General features: G+C 38.5%; 1 long non-coding RNA gene across 1 annotated transcript, besides 3 other annotated features; it reads left to right on the top strand.

The window, feature by feature from the left end:
- Positions 1-3,871: 3,871 nt before the first annotated feature.
- LOC105375731 (uncharacterized) lies at positions 3,872-9,945 on the top strand. The gene is made up of 3 exons (XR_928596.3): positions 3,872-4,214; positions 4,863-4,979; positions 7,310-9,945. It is a non-coding gene; the product is annotated as an uncharacterized LOC105375731 (long non-coding RNA).
- Positions 8,684-9,215: an enhancer, noted in NCBI's record as "H3K4me1 hESC enhancer chr8:122169222-122169753 (GRCh37/hg19 assembly coordinates)". NCBI's record gives its function as "activates a minimal SCP1, AML or CMV promoter by ChIP-STARR-seq in naive H9 embryonic stem cells {active_cell/tissue: H9 hESC(naive)}" and the evidence as "EXISTENCE:reporter gene assay evidence [ECO:0000049][PMID:30033119]".
- Positions 9,977-10,577: an enhancer, noted in NCBI's record as "OCT4-NANOG-H3K27ac hESC enhancer chr8:122167860-122168460 (GRCh37/hg19 assembly coordinates)". NCBI's record gives its function as "activates a minimal SCP1, AML or CMV promoter by ChIP-STARR-seq in naive and primed H9 embryonic stem cells {active_cell/tissue: H9 hESC(naive and primed)}" and the evidence as "EXISTENCE:reporter gene assay evidence [ECO:0000049][PMID:30033119]".
- Positions 10,578-11,179: an enhancer, noted in NCBI's record as "OCT4-NANOG-H3K27ac hESC enhancer chr8:122167258-122167859 (GRCh37/hg19 assembly coordinates)". NCBI's record gives its function as "activates a minimal SCP1, AML or CMV promoter by ChIP-STARR-seq in primed H9 embryonic stem cells {active_cell/tissue: H9 hESC(primed)}" and the evidence as "EXISTENCE:reporter gene assay evidence [ECO:0000049][PMID:30033119]".

The following is a 15,601-nucleotide window of genomic DNA, read 5'->3' as shown; positions in this document are numbered from 1 at the left end:
ATAAAATTTAAAATGAATTGAAGAAAGTTTAAACATATTTATCACACTTGAGCTATGAGCTAGACTCAAATCCATTTTGATTTTTTCAAAGCTATACATTGTATACATTGTACTGAATTTATTTTACCCCAAAGGCCATGAATGCTGAAGGACCTGAGGAAGGACCTGCTAATAATGTGCCAAAGCATAAAACAGATACCAGGTGAGATTTTGTTCATACTTTTCTTACATAGGTGGCTTTTTTTAAGAGTCCATTTTCTGAGGTCTTTTGCCTCACTTTTCCCTTCCCTCCAAAATAATCAGAGCTAGCCACAAAAATTACCCCTGATAAAAGTAAAAAAAATAAAAATAAAGCAGATAGGCTTCTTTGAGCTTCAGGATGAGGAGTAACATCGAGTTATAAACACCTTGAATGAAGGTCCTCTGTTTTATTCAGCTCTTAATTCCCACAGCAACATGCACAATGCCTTGTAAATCAAACATGCCTAGTAAAAGGGACTTGACTTAAACTAAACTGGAGCTTAAAAAATGAACCCTGTTCCATGAGGGTCAAGCAGGAAAACCTCTAGAAGTGCTAATGTTAAGCTACTTTGCTCTATTCACCTGCAAACAAGACTGGTTAACTCAGACTTTGGTTAGCCTCCCCGGATGATTTCCTTAAGAATCTCCAGGGCAGTGGCTTCCTGATGACAAGGTGACAAAGGTCAACCCCAGCATCTGCACAGCCAATATAAAGGTTCTGCCAGCTACTTCTCATTTCCTGTCAAGCCAAGGAACAAATTACGTGTCCCCAGGAGTTTCTTGACACAAGGCTGAGCTCATGACAGATATCTGATAAATTCTTGGGAATGTAAATTGAGTTATCTCATTGCAAAGCAACATTGGCAAGAAGGTAGGGGGCAGATAATATCAAATTTAGGCTGAATTCCTTTTTTTTTTTTTTTTTTTTTTTTGAGATGAAGTCTCACTCTGAAGCCCAGGCTAAAGTGCAGTGGTGTGATCTCAGCTCACCGCAACATCCGCCTTCGGGTTCAAGCTATTCTCTTGCCTCAGCCTCCCCAGTAGCTGAGATTACAGGCACACACCACAGTGCCCAGCTAATTTTTGTATTTTTAGTGGAGAGGGGTTTTCACCATGTTGGCCAGGCAGGTCTCAAACTCCTGACCTTAGGTAATCCTCCCGCCTTGGCCTCTCAGAGTGCTGGGATTACAGATGTGAGCCACGGCACCCTACCTAAATTAGGCTGAATTCTTAACTCTACCACCAGTGTGGACTTGGCAAACCTGTAAAATACGGCTAATGAAACACATCCTGAAGGGAGATGAAAGAGGTGATAAAAAACATATGGGAAATAACAGCCGCCACTGTGTATTGGATGCTATGGTCCTCCCTCAGGTCCCCACTGCAAGAATGAGAGATCCATTTCAGTTGCTTGTAGTGCTGGAACCTGAGTCCCTCGCCAGGAATTGCCCTAAGCTGAAGAGAGCCACTTTGCTCTAGGTCACATTCTGTGGAGCACGCTCTATATGGCACTGGCTGAGGCCCTTGCTGCAACTACATGGAAGCTCAACTCCTGTCTCTGACCAATCCACCTCTTTCTACTACCCCAGAGGTATTTGTCCTATAGGCACTCTCCAACAAACTTCCTGCTTGCAGGTCTCTCACAGCCTATTTCTGGAACTGACCTAAGACATACTTGTCAAAAGAAAATGATTCCTGTGACTCAAATAGAGATGAAAGACTTTATTGATGGAGCTCCTAAAGACCAGGTGGCTTCCAACTGAAGCAGTCAGGGTTTTTATAGGATAGTGGGCACTTGAGTACCTGGCCTTGAGGTTTTGGCTGGGCAGCAATTTAGCCAACTTTAACCCACACTCACAGTTGAACATCCTTCCTGTTTACATGTCCCTTGCTTAGAGTCCTTGGCATTACACAATCACAATACACATCAGAACATTTTTTACATTGTTTGGAAGCTTGTGGTTTATCAGCTAGTCAAAGTTTATGAAATGAGGGAATTAGATAGCAAACGAGAAAGAAAGTGGGACAAAGAAGGCAGTGGGAACATGAGGGAACATCAATGTTGGTGGGGTTTTTTTGTTTTTTTTTTTAGTCCTTTTACACACATATTGAGTACTAATCACATCTCAGACTCTGTGCCGAGGTTATGCATGCATTGTATTCAATCTTTTCCTTAATCACTAGGGGTGGGGATGCTTGGCTGCCATTTTCTGCTTAGATTTTAGGATCCACAGTGCTAATGAGCAAATGCCATAACAGAAAAGCCGCAGAGAACACGAGACTGAGGGTGCTCTCTGCTTGCTTCAGGGTTTTTGCCCTCAAGTCCTGACTGCCTTGGTTGTACTCTGAAGCCTACAGTTTTGTTTTGCTTTATGTATTTTATCCATATTTTATATCTGTTCTATGGTAAGAGGATGAGTTTGATATAAAGAACTCCACTGGACAGAGAAGGGAACTGAGGCTCAAATAGAGTAATTACTTAAGGCGAGGCAGCTTGCAAGCAATGAAGCTAGCAGAATCACCCAGAACTCCCTGATTCCAGTAACTATGCTTTTAACCTACTGGTTTAATTTAACTTACTGGCCACTTGCAAACTTCAGACTATAGTGGAAATTTTATGTTTTAATCGATACTTCTGAAACAAATTAGTTGATTAAATTATCCCATAAAATATAAATACGGCTGTACAATACTGTGTAGTGTTTTATGTTTAAAAGACCTTTGATTCAAACCATTATGCTTTACTTACTTGTTCTATTTTTAAATTATATCAGCATAAAAATAAAGGCATAGTCACTCAACACAGTAACCTATACTTAGCAATAAACATTAGGCAATTCTTAAACACACACAAGGAATTACTAGGACAACTGAAATAACATAAGCTTGCAACATGCCAAGAGGTCACATGGGTGGAAAGGGGATGGGAAAAGCAATTCTGTATTGTTTACTGCCACTTTTGTTGAAATAAACTCTGGATGTACAATTTTTCCTATGAAGAACTGTGGTTTTGCTGGTGGTTTTAATGAATCTGTGCAGCATATAATTGAGGGTTTTCCAGTTATGAAGAGAATTACTAATATGTACCCAAACACACTAAGAGGATAAGAACATTCAAGCACTGACTAGAACACTGGAAAATCTTAAATATAATAAAGATACTCAATAGAGGAAGAATAATTCTTCTTTTCTATTTAATTCATGTATGTGTTATTTTATGATTCAGTTTTAATAATGATTATTTGCTAAGGGACTCTTAGCACTTGACAATTCATCTCTGATATCTCTTTTAATACAGTTAGCAATCTTCTAGTTGAGTATTGTTATAACCTAATGTAAAGGCAGTTGTAGCTCCTAGATAAAGGTTTGATGCCACTTACTAGATGTGACTCTGGACATACTTAACCTCTATAATAATGCTTCAATTTTCTTATCAATGAGATAGAAATAATGATAAGACATGCTTCAAAAAATGTCTTTTGAAATTAAATATGATGTGTGAAATGTATGAATAATTAATAAGCATTATAATTCCATCTATTATATATGAAATGCTGAGTCTTTGGGAAGTTAATAACCCAGTTACACATGATTTGAATGTGTCAGAATTGTGAGTCACTCACTCACTCACTCACTCTCTGACCCCAGAATTTGTGGACTTAATGACTGTAGTGTATCTTCCTCCAAGTCTGGGGGTTGTATTTCTCCAATAAACAAATCAAGTGTTATAAGACAAAGCTAACAAGCACACCAAATCTTGTGTAATGAGTTAACTGGTGGCCCCCAACAGATACATTCATGTCCAAATTCCTGAAACCTATGAATATTACCTTGTTTGAAAAGAGTCTTTGCAGATATAGCAAGTTGAAGATCCTGATATGAGGAGATCATCCTGGATTATCTGAGCAGTTCCAAATTCCAATGATAAGCATTATTATATTGTGAGGCAGAGGGAGATTTGACCCATGAACCCATACAGAGGAGACCATGTGATGACTGAGGTAAAGATAAAAGTGACATGGCCACAAGCCAGGGAACACTGACAGCCATCAGAATCGGGAAGATGCAAAGAACAGAACTTTCCTGGAGCCTCTGGACTAGAAAATTATAAATCAAGCACTCCTGCTGATTGATGTCTTGATCTCAGGTGGTCCTGCTGAAACCCTGATCTTAGAATTTTGGCCTCCAGAACTGTGAGAGAATAAATTCCGTTATTTGTTATGACAGCGCTAGGAAACTAATACAACTTGTTTAGCATAAATTTAAATTTAAAATGTATGTGTTAATTTCCTCAACTCCCACTTCTATAATCTTGTCTAATACAGCTAATTTATAACAGCCTTGCCTTTCTCTAGGTTCTTTTTACAATGCAACCAGTAACTTAATATACATGCTGTTTGATTTTTGGCCAAATGTATCATACAAGTTAGGATTTTATCCTACTTTCTTATTTCTTCATGGTTAACTTTATCTCTCCAAGTAGGATGTGGATTCCTCTGAGCTGAAACTATCTACTGATTTCTTTATGGTACATTCACTTTGGCCCTCAATAAACACCTTTTTATTGATTGAGATTGGTCAAATAAATGGGAAACTAGAAACTTCTATAAATATATAATATAAAAACAAGGGACACGCAGGAAAGAGTAGAGGCTTTGATGTCAAACAGACCTGATTTTTAATCTTGTTTCAGCTATTTACTAGCTTTGTGACTTGGTGTCAATTACTTAGACCCTGAATTTCAATTTCCTCATCTGTAAGCAATGATAACCCTACTCTTTAAAGCCATTGAAAGGAATCACAACCTGTGTTGTTTAGATATTGATTTTTTTTCTTCCCAGAATACATTCATACCTTTGTGGTAATAGGGTAGGGTGCCCTGTGATGATAGCCAAGGTGCCAAGGTTGGGAAGCCCTGCTGCAGAGGAAACAGCACAGCACACTGTAATCTCCAAGAAGTAAGTGGCATTATTTAGAGTAATTAATACATGTGTTTTGAATCAGTTAATTTACTCCAGAAGGAAAATAAATAAGACAATGATTGCCACAAAGGATAAGAAGTATTTGAATTCTTTCTCAGCAATGTGCCTACCAATGGCTGATCAATGTGCTTAAGCCATGTGTTGCTCTGGGTCTTTGATGGTTTCTTTGAAACATTACATTAATCAACAGTACCCTTCCTCTTTTCCTTAGCCCTCCCTATGTCCTCAATTTCTTCATTTGAAAAAACCCTCTTGTCCTTGAATGCGCTACCACATCTCTAACGAATCTCTGGCATCAATTGATCTCCCTTTAGGAAATGACCTAATCAACAAGATCATTATATATGAAACCAAAAAAAGGGGAGGAGCAGACAAAACCAAATATTATTTTACGTTCCAAGTAATCTATTCTCTATTTTCCTTTCTTTGTAACTCTTTTGCCCATCAGCAATATGTGGTTTCAATAATGATGGGGATAATGAGATGAACTTCAGGACAGGTTACAAAGCGAATAAATAATCAGAGAAAAAAATAAGACCTTCACTTTGGAAGGAATCAATTTGGCTTGTATGATAATGAAGCTTCATTATTTGACTGGTGATTGGTAACTAAGGGAGCTTTATTAAAAATGAGTCTCTGGCATAATATCCAGTTCTTGCAGTGGAGTGGCAAAGGTTTCATATCTTGGGTCCTCTTGCCTGAGGATTTTTGTTTGTTTGTTTGTTTGTTTTGAGACAGAGTCTCACTCTGTCACCAGGCTGGAGTGCAGTGGCGCGCACTCGGCTCACTGTAATCTCCGCCTCCCAGGTTCAAGCAATTCTCCTGCCTCAGCCTCCCGAGTAGCTGGGACTACAGGCAAGCACCACCATGCCCAGCTAATTTTTTTACTTTCAGTGGAGACGGGGTTTCACCATGTTGGCCAGAATGGTCTCGATCTCTTGAGCTCGTGATCCGCCCGCCTCGGCCTGCCAAAGTGCTGGGATTAGAGGCTTGAGCCACCGCGCCCGGCCTCCTGAGGATTTTTTAAAAATTATTTTATAATCTGGCAAACTGTAGTGATCTACAATTTATATGATTAAAAGGTTCTTAAAAGCCTAGTGGGTTTCACCAAACTCTGACAGTTTTAAATAATCCACTCAATAGAGAAACACTAAATGAAACTGCAGGATAAAAATAGCTTTAAATAATTTCCTAGCACCGGAGACATCTCCTAGTAATTATTTTCACTGGTTAGGATGGTTAGGATAGTTACTATCTCGATTGTCTTTAAAGAACAACTATAAACTCATCTTAATTCCTTTAAACAATGTCCAGATTTGTGAAATGTTTGGTTATTTTCTGAGCTAACTGTATCCAAATGAATATTTATTGTTAACTAAAATGATCTTTCGTAATGCTCTGCCACAGTCAAATTCAAGAATGCAAGAAACAGCCCCTATTTTTCATTACCACTATTGACAATAGGCGAGATAAGGGCGTATCCTGGAGATTAGAGTTCATTGGATCTACCAAAAGCAGTAATGTGGGGATTATCAATGTAGTTCTCCCTCCCTGAGGAAGAAACAGCTAGAGATTTTGTAGATAGTGATTTTCTCAAAGAGGCATCCTGGAAAGAGGATAGTGGGACCAACTCATTTTCACCTCTAACTTCTGCTCACTGGCTATTTGACCTTGGGAAGTTACTAAAGTTCTCTGAACCTAAGTTTCCTCATCCATAAAATGGGAAAATAATATGAAAATAATAATGTCTCTCCTATTTTCAGCTCAGCATTGCTAATATTCAGAAGGGAATGTAGTGTTTGTAAAAACACTTTTAAAAGTTGTACCAAGGTCAATTGCTATAATAATTAATAGTTATGGGTGACAAAAAGATATAGTTGATTCATCTGTTTAGACTGAAGTACATTTCACTTACTGTAGTTAAATTGCTCTTTGATGATAACTATAATAACTCAATAGTTGTTTTGTGTGTGTGCCAAACAACCAAGTTACCGTCAGCATGCTACAGTTTTCAGTGAATTGCTTTCCATTGTCTCATAAGTTTGGGAACCAAAAATCCTGGGGTTAAATTCCCAATCTGTCACTTACTAGATATAGAACATGGTATAAACCAATTGAGCCTTCATTTTCTCACATGTATATAGTTTATAAAGCACATAGAGTATTGCAAAGAAGAGCAAATATTATACAGAATTTATTATGCCTGGCATAATGTGAACACTGGATAAATGTTAGAGTTTTACAGAGACATCACCAACGTACTCAGAATTAGCTCTAATTATATTTTCTTCAATTTTCCATTGCAGACATGGTCCAAATGCATAATGCCATGAACTGACAATAATCAAGCAATGAATAATATTCATCATGGTCTTTTGGCTGCCAAAATCAATCAATCAATGTGTAAACTTTCTTACCTAATATTTGCTCTGAATGACTGCTTCTCATTGAAAATTCCTGTCCTACCAACATTCCGATTCCACAACCAGAACCCACAGTTAATTGAGCTCATAATACTGGTAAGCAAGTACCAAAAAAGTTATCTCTTCAGCCAGAAAAAAATGCCACAAATGTTCACCACAGTTAAATATATACAAGCATTATTCCTTGATATCTTGCAGAATCAACTAAATATAACAGCTGAGGCTTAAAAACTCACTTTCTCTGTAGAAGGACCTATTTTGGTTATGCTTGGATTTCCACTGAACAGCATTTGGCTTTGTTTTACTAACCACACACTGTCTGTTGCCATCCTCTCTCTAAGTCTACCCACAGAAATGTGAATGCTTCCACTAATGGTAAACCACCAACATCAATGCAAGCACAGCAATAATTCCACAGCCAGCCCTAGATCTTAGTACTCTAAAGGGAAGAAATCAAAAGGTTTTCAGAACATAATTTATTGACACTTAGGGTTTTCACCAACTCTGTTATGCCTGTTCAGGCCACCAAAGCAGACAAGTTGATTGAAACTTTTTTTTAGCATCTCTACATGATTGTGATTACATTCATGTCAAAAAATATTTTGTGAATTTTTATTTTGGGGGTTGTAGGATAGCAAGATGGCATCGATATTTTGGGCTTGCCCAGGATGCTATATTTGGAATGTTTAAATTTTTCAAATGATTGAAAAGCAATTAATCTCCATCATGTAGGGAAACCTAGTCATGTTTACTACACCTGACGTTCATATACTTGCTAGGTAAGCATCTAGATTGAAGTAAAAACCAATATTATTATATTTATGTATTCCTAGTGAAAACATTTTGTGTTTTTAAGGTGTTTTAGGTGTTTAGGACAAATTCTAAAGTAAGAGAATTGTTTTATTTGGTGGCTTTTATCTTTCTTCACTCTTCCCCCAAATGGGCATGGTTCTATAATCACCATAATTCTCCCACGGTTGCCAAGATAAGCGTGCACGCGTGTGTGCGCGCACACACACACACACTTTCTCTCTCTTCTCAGAACCTGGCACAAGCCTGCAATTACTTAAACTCAATATCTCTATCATTTCAGGTATAATTTACATAAAGTCAAAATACACAAGTCTTAACTGTATAATTCCATCAGTTTTGGTAAATGTAGACACCACACCTCTATCAAAATATGGAGCATTTTCATCATCCTAGAGGGTTACCTCATGCCCCTTCCCAGGCAGTCCCACCCTTGCTTCCCATTCACTCACAAAAGCAGCCACTGCACCATGGAATAGTTTCATCTCTTCCAGAATTTCATCAGAATGGAATCATAAGTATGAAATTACTCATTTTGTATCTTGCTTCTTTCACTTAGCATGTTTTTGAGATTCACGTAATAGAAGTTCTGTCTTATTGCTAAGTAGTTTTCCATTACATGAATATTTTACAGTTTGTTTATCCATTTTCCTCTAGATCGACTGATTGGGCATTATGAATAATGCTGCTATGAAAAGTCTTGTACAAGGTTCTGTAGACGTATTATGTCTCTTGAATACTCAGAAGTTGATTTGCTGCCACACTAGTAGATGTACATTTAACTGCTAAAGTAAACTGCTGTTTTTTGTTTTTTGTTTTTTGTTTTTTGTTTTTGAGACGGAGTCTCGCTCTGTCGCCCAAGCTGGAGTGCAGTGGTGCGATCTTAGCTCACTGCAAGCTCCGCCTCCCGGGTTCGCGCCATTCTCCTTCCTCAGCCTCCAGAGTAGCTGGGACTACAGGCACCTGCCACCATGCCCGGCTAATTTTTTGTATTTTTAGTAGAGACGGGATTTCACCGTGTTAGCCGGAATGGTCTGGATCTCCGCCCGCCTCGGCCTCCCAAAGTGCTGGGATTACAGGCGTGAGCCACCGAGCCCGGCCAGTAAACTGCTTTTTAAACAAACTACTGAACAGTTTTCCAAAGTGGTCATATTAGGTTGGTGCAAAACTAACTGCAGTTTTTCCCATTAAAAGTAATGGCAAAAACCAATATTATTTGTTTTCTTTCCCCCAGCAATATATGAGTGTATCTGTTGTTCCATACATATGACAGGATTGGCTTTGATAATCTTTTTTATTTTAGCCATTTTAGTGGGTACGTATCTCATTGTGATTTTAAATTGCCTTTCCCTTGTAAATATTTATGCTGAATACTTTTTTATGTGTTTATTAGTCATTCATACACACACATATTCACACGCATATACATATAATCTATTATATTACATATTTATTATATAGATGTTTGTGACATATCTGTTGAAGTCTTCTGCTGATATATATACATATATACGCACATATATGTTGTGTCTATGTGAGCTATTTGTCTTTTTATTATTGAGTTTTAGAAGTATTTTTGATATGAAAAGTCCTTTGTCACATATGTTTTATTAATATTTTCTCCAAATCTGTGGCTTATTTATTTTCTTATTGGTGTCTTCTGATAAGAAGATTTTAATTTAATAAAGTCTAATTCATTAATTTTATTACTTTCCTGGTTAGTACTTTTTATGTTCGCTTCATAACATCTTTGCCTATCCTGAGTTTGTGAAGATATTTATTTTTGCTTCTAGAAGCTATGCAGTTTTAGCTGTTATGCTTAAGTCTATGTTCCATCTTGAATTAATTTTTGTGTCTTGTGTGTCTGCATCAAACTTGACTATCCTGCTATGGTTTGCATATGGCTAGTTTGTCCCCATCAAAGTTCATGCTGAAATTTAATCTCCAATGCTGCAGTGTTGAAAGGTGGGGCCTCATGGGAGGTGTTTGGGTTGTGGGTAGGTAGATTTTAAAATCTTCTGATTGGCAATTGGTTGAAAGAACTATTATCAATAGAAAGGAATGTCTGGGTTGTGATAAGGGGTTGTAGAGACCAAATTTTATCATGCAGATGAAGCCTCCAGGTAGCAGGCCTTAGAGAGAATAGATTGTAAATGTTTCTTAACAGAATTAAGGTCTGTGTTGATGTGAAAGGCTTTGCGGCTTTTCCTGAATTCCAAAAGGAAGGAGGGTATAATAAGGCACATCCGACCTCCCACTGCCCTCCACAATCTGAACCAGTCTTTCAGGTTAAATTTGGAGTGTCCTGGTTGAGAGGAGGGAGTCCATTTAGATGGCTGAAGGGCGACCTTTGCATTTTACTTTTGGTTTGCAAAGTAGAATGGGCATCATAATAGAAGCTACCTCAGAAGGCTGTTGTGAGGGTTACACGGGTCAGGACTTGTTCTGGCACACAGTAAGTGCTGTGAGTCTGTGCTGCAGCTGTTGTGCATATTGCTCCTTTAAATGCATTGAGCACTTCATTTTACACAGACCTAAAGGATCTAGGTCCCTCTTTAGAGTGGGTGCAAATCAGGGCCCCAGAGCTGCAGTTTGTTAGATATAAGGCTTGAGTTTATCTTTGAAGGATTCTTTAGATAGGGAATAATGTAGAGCCAATATAGACACATAATCTTAAAATAGATCAGCATCCAATCTATTTTCATCTCAGTATTGGCTTTTCCTGCCGAGTGCCCTCTATGCTCCATTCTTGTTCATCTGCAGTGCTGATAATACCGGGGAAAAGAGGGAACTGCTTTTATCTAAGATGACTGGCTGCCTTTGGGAAAGGAAGATAGAGGAATAAGTTAAAATCAACTCACTTTTGTAAGAAAAATGTGTTATTTATAATCCCTTACCTATTAATTTATATTTATTTACATTTAATCCCCAAACAACTCTAAAAGATAGATTTGCAAACAATATTTCCCCCTTGAATTTACAGACAAGGAAACTGAGACAGGGAGAGGTTGAAATATCACCCACACATTCATAGGCTGTAAGTAGTCTACATGGGACTGGAATCAAGTTTTTCTAACTTTAAGACCAGTTGTCTTTAAACTGTGTCATCAGATACCATGTTTGAATTTGTGCTTCTCCATCCAGTGGCTGCCTCTCAAAGTTGTTCTCAGGATTAATACATAACAGAGTTGAAAGCACCTAGCTCAGAACCTGACATTGGAAATGCTCTTAAAGTATGAGCTAAATCTGAATGTAATCAGCTTCAGGATGATGGGATAGAGTAATATTTGAACAAAATACTCTACAATGAAAAGTTCCCATTATCTATATTTCCCAGTCAATAAAGGACTAACTAGAAAACCTTTTTCTCAATTTATTTTAGATAATAATCTTTCTTCCTTTGTTTAAATAATGAGTCATTGAACTTCCTGCCTTAAGCAATAAACTGCAGTACATTTTTTCCCTCCTTTAAGGCTTGAAGTTTTATTTTGGTGTTTTCTGAATATCAGTAATTTTGAAGTATGTGACCCCAAATTATTTACGAAAAAGATGTAAATATTTGAGCTTCATGTAAACAGGTCCCAAGGTCCATCCTAATTTTTTAAAATAAATCCAAAATTAATTTATTTGCTTGGTTTGGCTTTTTTCAGATAATATGAAAAAAAAATCTAGGCAATTAACAGTTTAGTTTGTTTGGTTTAAGATAATCAAGCTTTACCGTGCTAAACAGATAGCAGCAAGGGGGAACGTTTCAAGGAGTGGTGGATTAACATTGCGTATGTTTTAACTTGGAGGATCCTGTTTTGATTTTATAGCACATTCAGATATCCAGCCTTGAATTAAGCTGTTGCTAAAGCTCAGGATAAATGTTCTCAACAGCAAAAGCAAGCACAGATGTGTGGGAAGCTATAGGTGTCCAGGCTGAATGGGATTAATGTTAGATGCCCAGTGTCAGTAAACAAACTCCAATTAAAATAAAAGAAAAACAAAAATGCAAATGAACTATCAGCACCATAACAGAAGATAAGATGAAGATTTGTCTAGGGTCATCACAGATGAATTTACCTGGATACACACTTCTTTCTGATGGGTTTCCTTCAAAGGCCCAAGTTCCTACTCCACAGTCTCTTCCTCACAGCGGTAGATAAGCCCCAGTCAGTCTTTAAAAATGGAGCCCTCCAATCCAAGATGTGATACTGTCATAACCTTTCTAGAAGTAGCAGCTCCAGCTGGAAAATCAGCAGCCCTCCTCCTAGTAGATTAATATATGAGCCGAGTGTTGTGCCTGCAGCCAGAACATGTGTGAATGACCCTAACCCTGAGGTCGTGTAAAAGCACTTGTTTTACCCGCCATTGGGTATGTCTAGAAATTCACATGATGTTTACATAAAATCCTTGTTGATAGGAACCACTGACATGTACATATGTTCCTATGTTCTCACGCTCCCCCATCATCACTGAAATCTATTGCCATGGTGGCAGATTACTTTTATGACAATTCTGTTTCCCAAAGTTCCCAGCCTTGTAAACCCAGAGAGTGTTTTCATAGCAGATACATACTCTCTCTTTTATTTCTTTCTGCCATGAACTGGTCCAAGGCACAATTTCTTCTTGTAGCCCACCTGGGGGAGTTTCACATGCTCCGCTGACGCTGCTAAGGCATTTACCTGCTTGTTTTAAAGTCCATTTAGTATAATGACATCTCACTTTCTATGGCTTCACATCTTCCCTGCTTTGTAAAAAGGTAGCTTATATTTGCTTTCCTGGTACGGCCTTGACAAATATCAAAATGATTAAGAAAGGCTGGAGGGATAGGGGACAGAGATAAAGAGAGATTATGGGGGCTGGGATGAAAGGGAGAGAGAGAAGAAAGAAAACTGGAGGAATGAGGAAAGAGACAGTGTGAAGGAGAGGAGGAGGAGGAGGAGGTGGAGCCAGGCCAGAGGAAGAAGAGGTAGAAGGGAAGAGAAGAGAGAAGCTGTAGAAAGAAATAGATACCAGCTCAGAAAATTTAAAGGTCTAATTTTGTGCTTAAATTCCTAGAAAGGGAAAACAAAACAACGACTTAAACTCTTAAACCCCCTTGTTGACTAGGTGGCTTTCCACTAATGATAAATTCTAGGCCTGGGGTTTGGTAAAAGAGAATGCAAACCAAGGAGAAAATTTAGATTACACAAGTAAATGCATTCCCAGGCTGGGAAGTTGCAGTGTATTTCACGGGGGAAATCATGAAAAATATTGCTTGTAGTTACAGTGCACATTATTTAAAGTATCCAGAAACAGAAACATGATAGGGTATAATTTTCATGTATTCTTACTACAAATAAATTTATACAGTGAATAAGTTATTCTGAGCAGATACGTGGTGAGGATTGGAGTCAGCATGGGATAGTTAAAACATTAAACTAGATGGGTAGAGTTAGATATACTGTACTTGCATTTGAATATACTTACTAAGCTATATGACCTTAGGCAATTAAGTTATCTGAGTCTCAGTTTTGTATATCTGTAAAATATTGCCAATAATATTTGTGCGTATCCACAATAATGATAGTAAGTATCAGCCGGGTGCAGTGGCTCACGCCTGTAATCCCAGCACTCTGGGAGGCCGAGGTGAGTGGATCACCCGAGGTCAGGAGTTCAAGACCAGCCTGGCCAACATGGTGAAACCCCGTCTCTACTAAAAATACAAAAAATTAGCCGAGGACAGTGGCAGATGCCTGTCATCCCAGCTACTCAGGAGGCTGAAGAAGGAGAATCGCTTGAACCCAGGAGGCAGAGGTTGCAGTGAGCCAAGATCACACCATTGCACTCCAGCCTGGGCAACAAGAGTGAAACTTCATCTGAAAAAATAAGTTAATAATAATAATAATAATAGTAAGTATCTTAGAGAGTTGTTATGAGAATTTAAACCCAAAAGGGTTTGAATACTACAGTGGTTTGAACAGTGTTTCCCTAAGAATTTGTTTCCACCTATAACTTCAGAATGTGACCTTATTTGGAAACAAGCTCTTTGCAGGTACAATTAAGATGAAATCATAGTGGCTTAAGATGGGCCTTAAACCCAGTGACTGCTGTCCTTATAAGAAGAGGAGAGGACACACAGAGAAGGAGAGAAGGCCGTATAAAATAGAGGTGGAGATCGGAGCTATCCTGACACAACTCAAAGAACACCAAGGACCACCAGAAGCTGGAAAAGACAAGTAAGAATTCTTCCCTGGAGCCTCCAGAAGGAGTGTGGTCCTGCTAACACCGTGGTTTCAGATTTCTGGCCTCCAGAACTGTGAGAGAATAAACGGTTGTTCTAAGGCATGAAGTTTGTGGTAATTTGTTACGGCAGCCCAAGAAAATCAATACAAGTGAATAATAAGTACCCAATAAAAGTCAGCTCAACATCATGTGAGTTTTAATCTATATTCTGGGTACTACCTTGCAGTTCTTGAATTGGTAACTTAAATTGGTCCTACTTTAACAGTTTTAACCTCTCCAGGTCTCAGCTTCAGCCATTTAGTCCACTTTTTTATTCTCCAAACCTGAGCTAAGGGGGATCCTGCATATTCTCCCATTAAATCTGCCTTGGCTGTGAGCCCCGAATTACCTGTCTCAGCCTATCCAATTCGTTTATCCATTTGATACTTATCTATTAAGCAACTACTATGAACCAGTCAGTATGTAAGGAACCAGGTATAAAGCAGTGAATGAAACAAATTTCTCTTTTCATAAGAAATACTTTCTGGTGAGAAGAAAAAAAAGGTAAACAAGTAGGCTAGTGAATATATATCAGATGGTGAGGTGGTTAGTGCTATGTAAACAAAATAAGGCAGAGACGGAGCTATGCAGAGCTAGGGCAGGGTGAACTAATGTTGGTGGGTCAGGGATGATCTTTCTGATAAGGTGGTATTTTAGCAGTGACAAGAATGAAGTAAAAGAGGAAGTCCTTCTGACATCTGGGAGGAGAAAGGAAAGAAGAAATGGGGGCTCAGTCACCTACAACCGTGTAAGCCATGACTTGGACTTGGATTTTTGCACTGAGTGATATGGGAAACCAGAAAAGGGTGCAGAATAGAAGACAGCATGATCTGCCTTATACTTACTTTTACTTTCAGTTCTGGGATACATGTACAGAATATGCAGGTTTGTTGCATAGGTATACATGTACCATGGTGGTTTGCTGCACCTATCAACCTGTCATCTAGGTTTTAAGCCCCACATGCACTAGGTATTTCTGCTAATGCTCTCCCTCCCCTTGCCCCCCACCCACCAACAGGCCCCAATGTGTGATGTTCCCCTCCCTGTGTCCATGTGTTCTCATTGTTTAACTTCCACTTATGAGTGAGAACATGCGTGTCTGGTTTTCTGTTCTTG

This window comes from Homo sapiens, chromosome 8, assembly GCF_000001405.40.
Source record: "Homo sapiens chromosome 8, GRCh38.p14 Primary Assembly".
Taxonomy (NCBI): Eukaryota; Metazoa; Chordata; class Mammalia; order Primates; family Hominidae; genus Homo; species Homo sapiens.
This window is presented reverse-complemented; position numbering and strand designations above follow the sequence as displayed.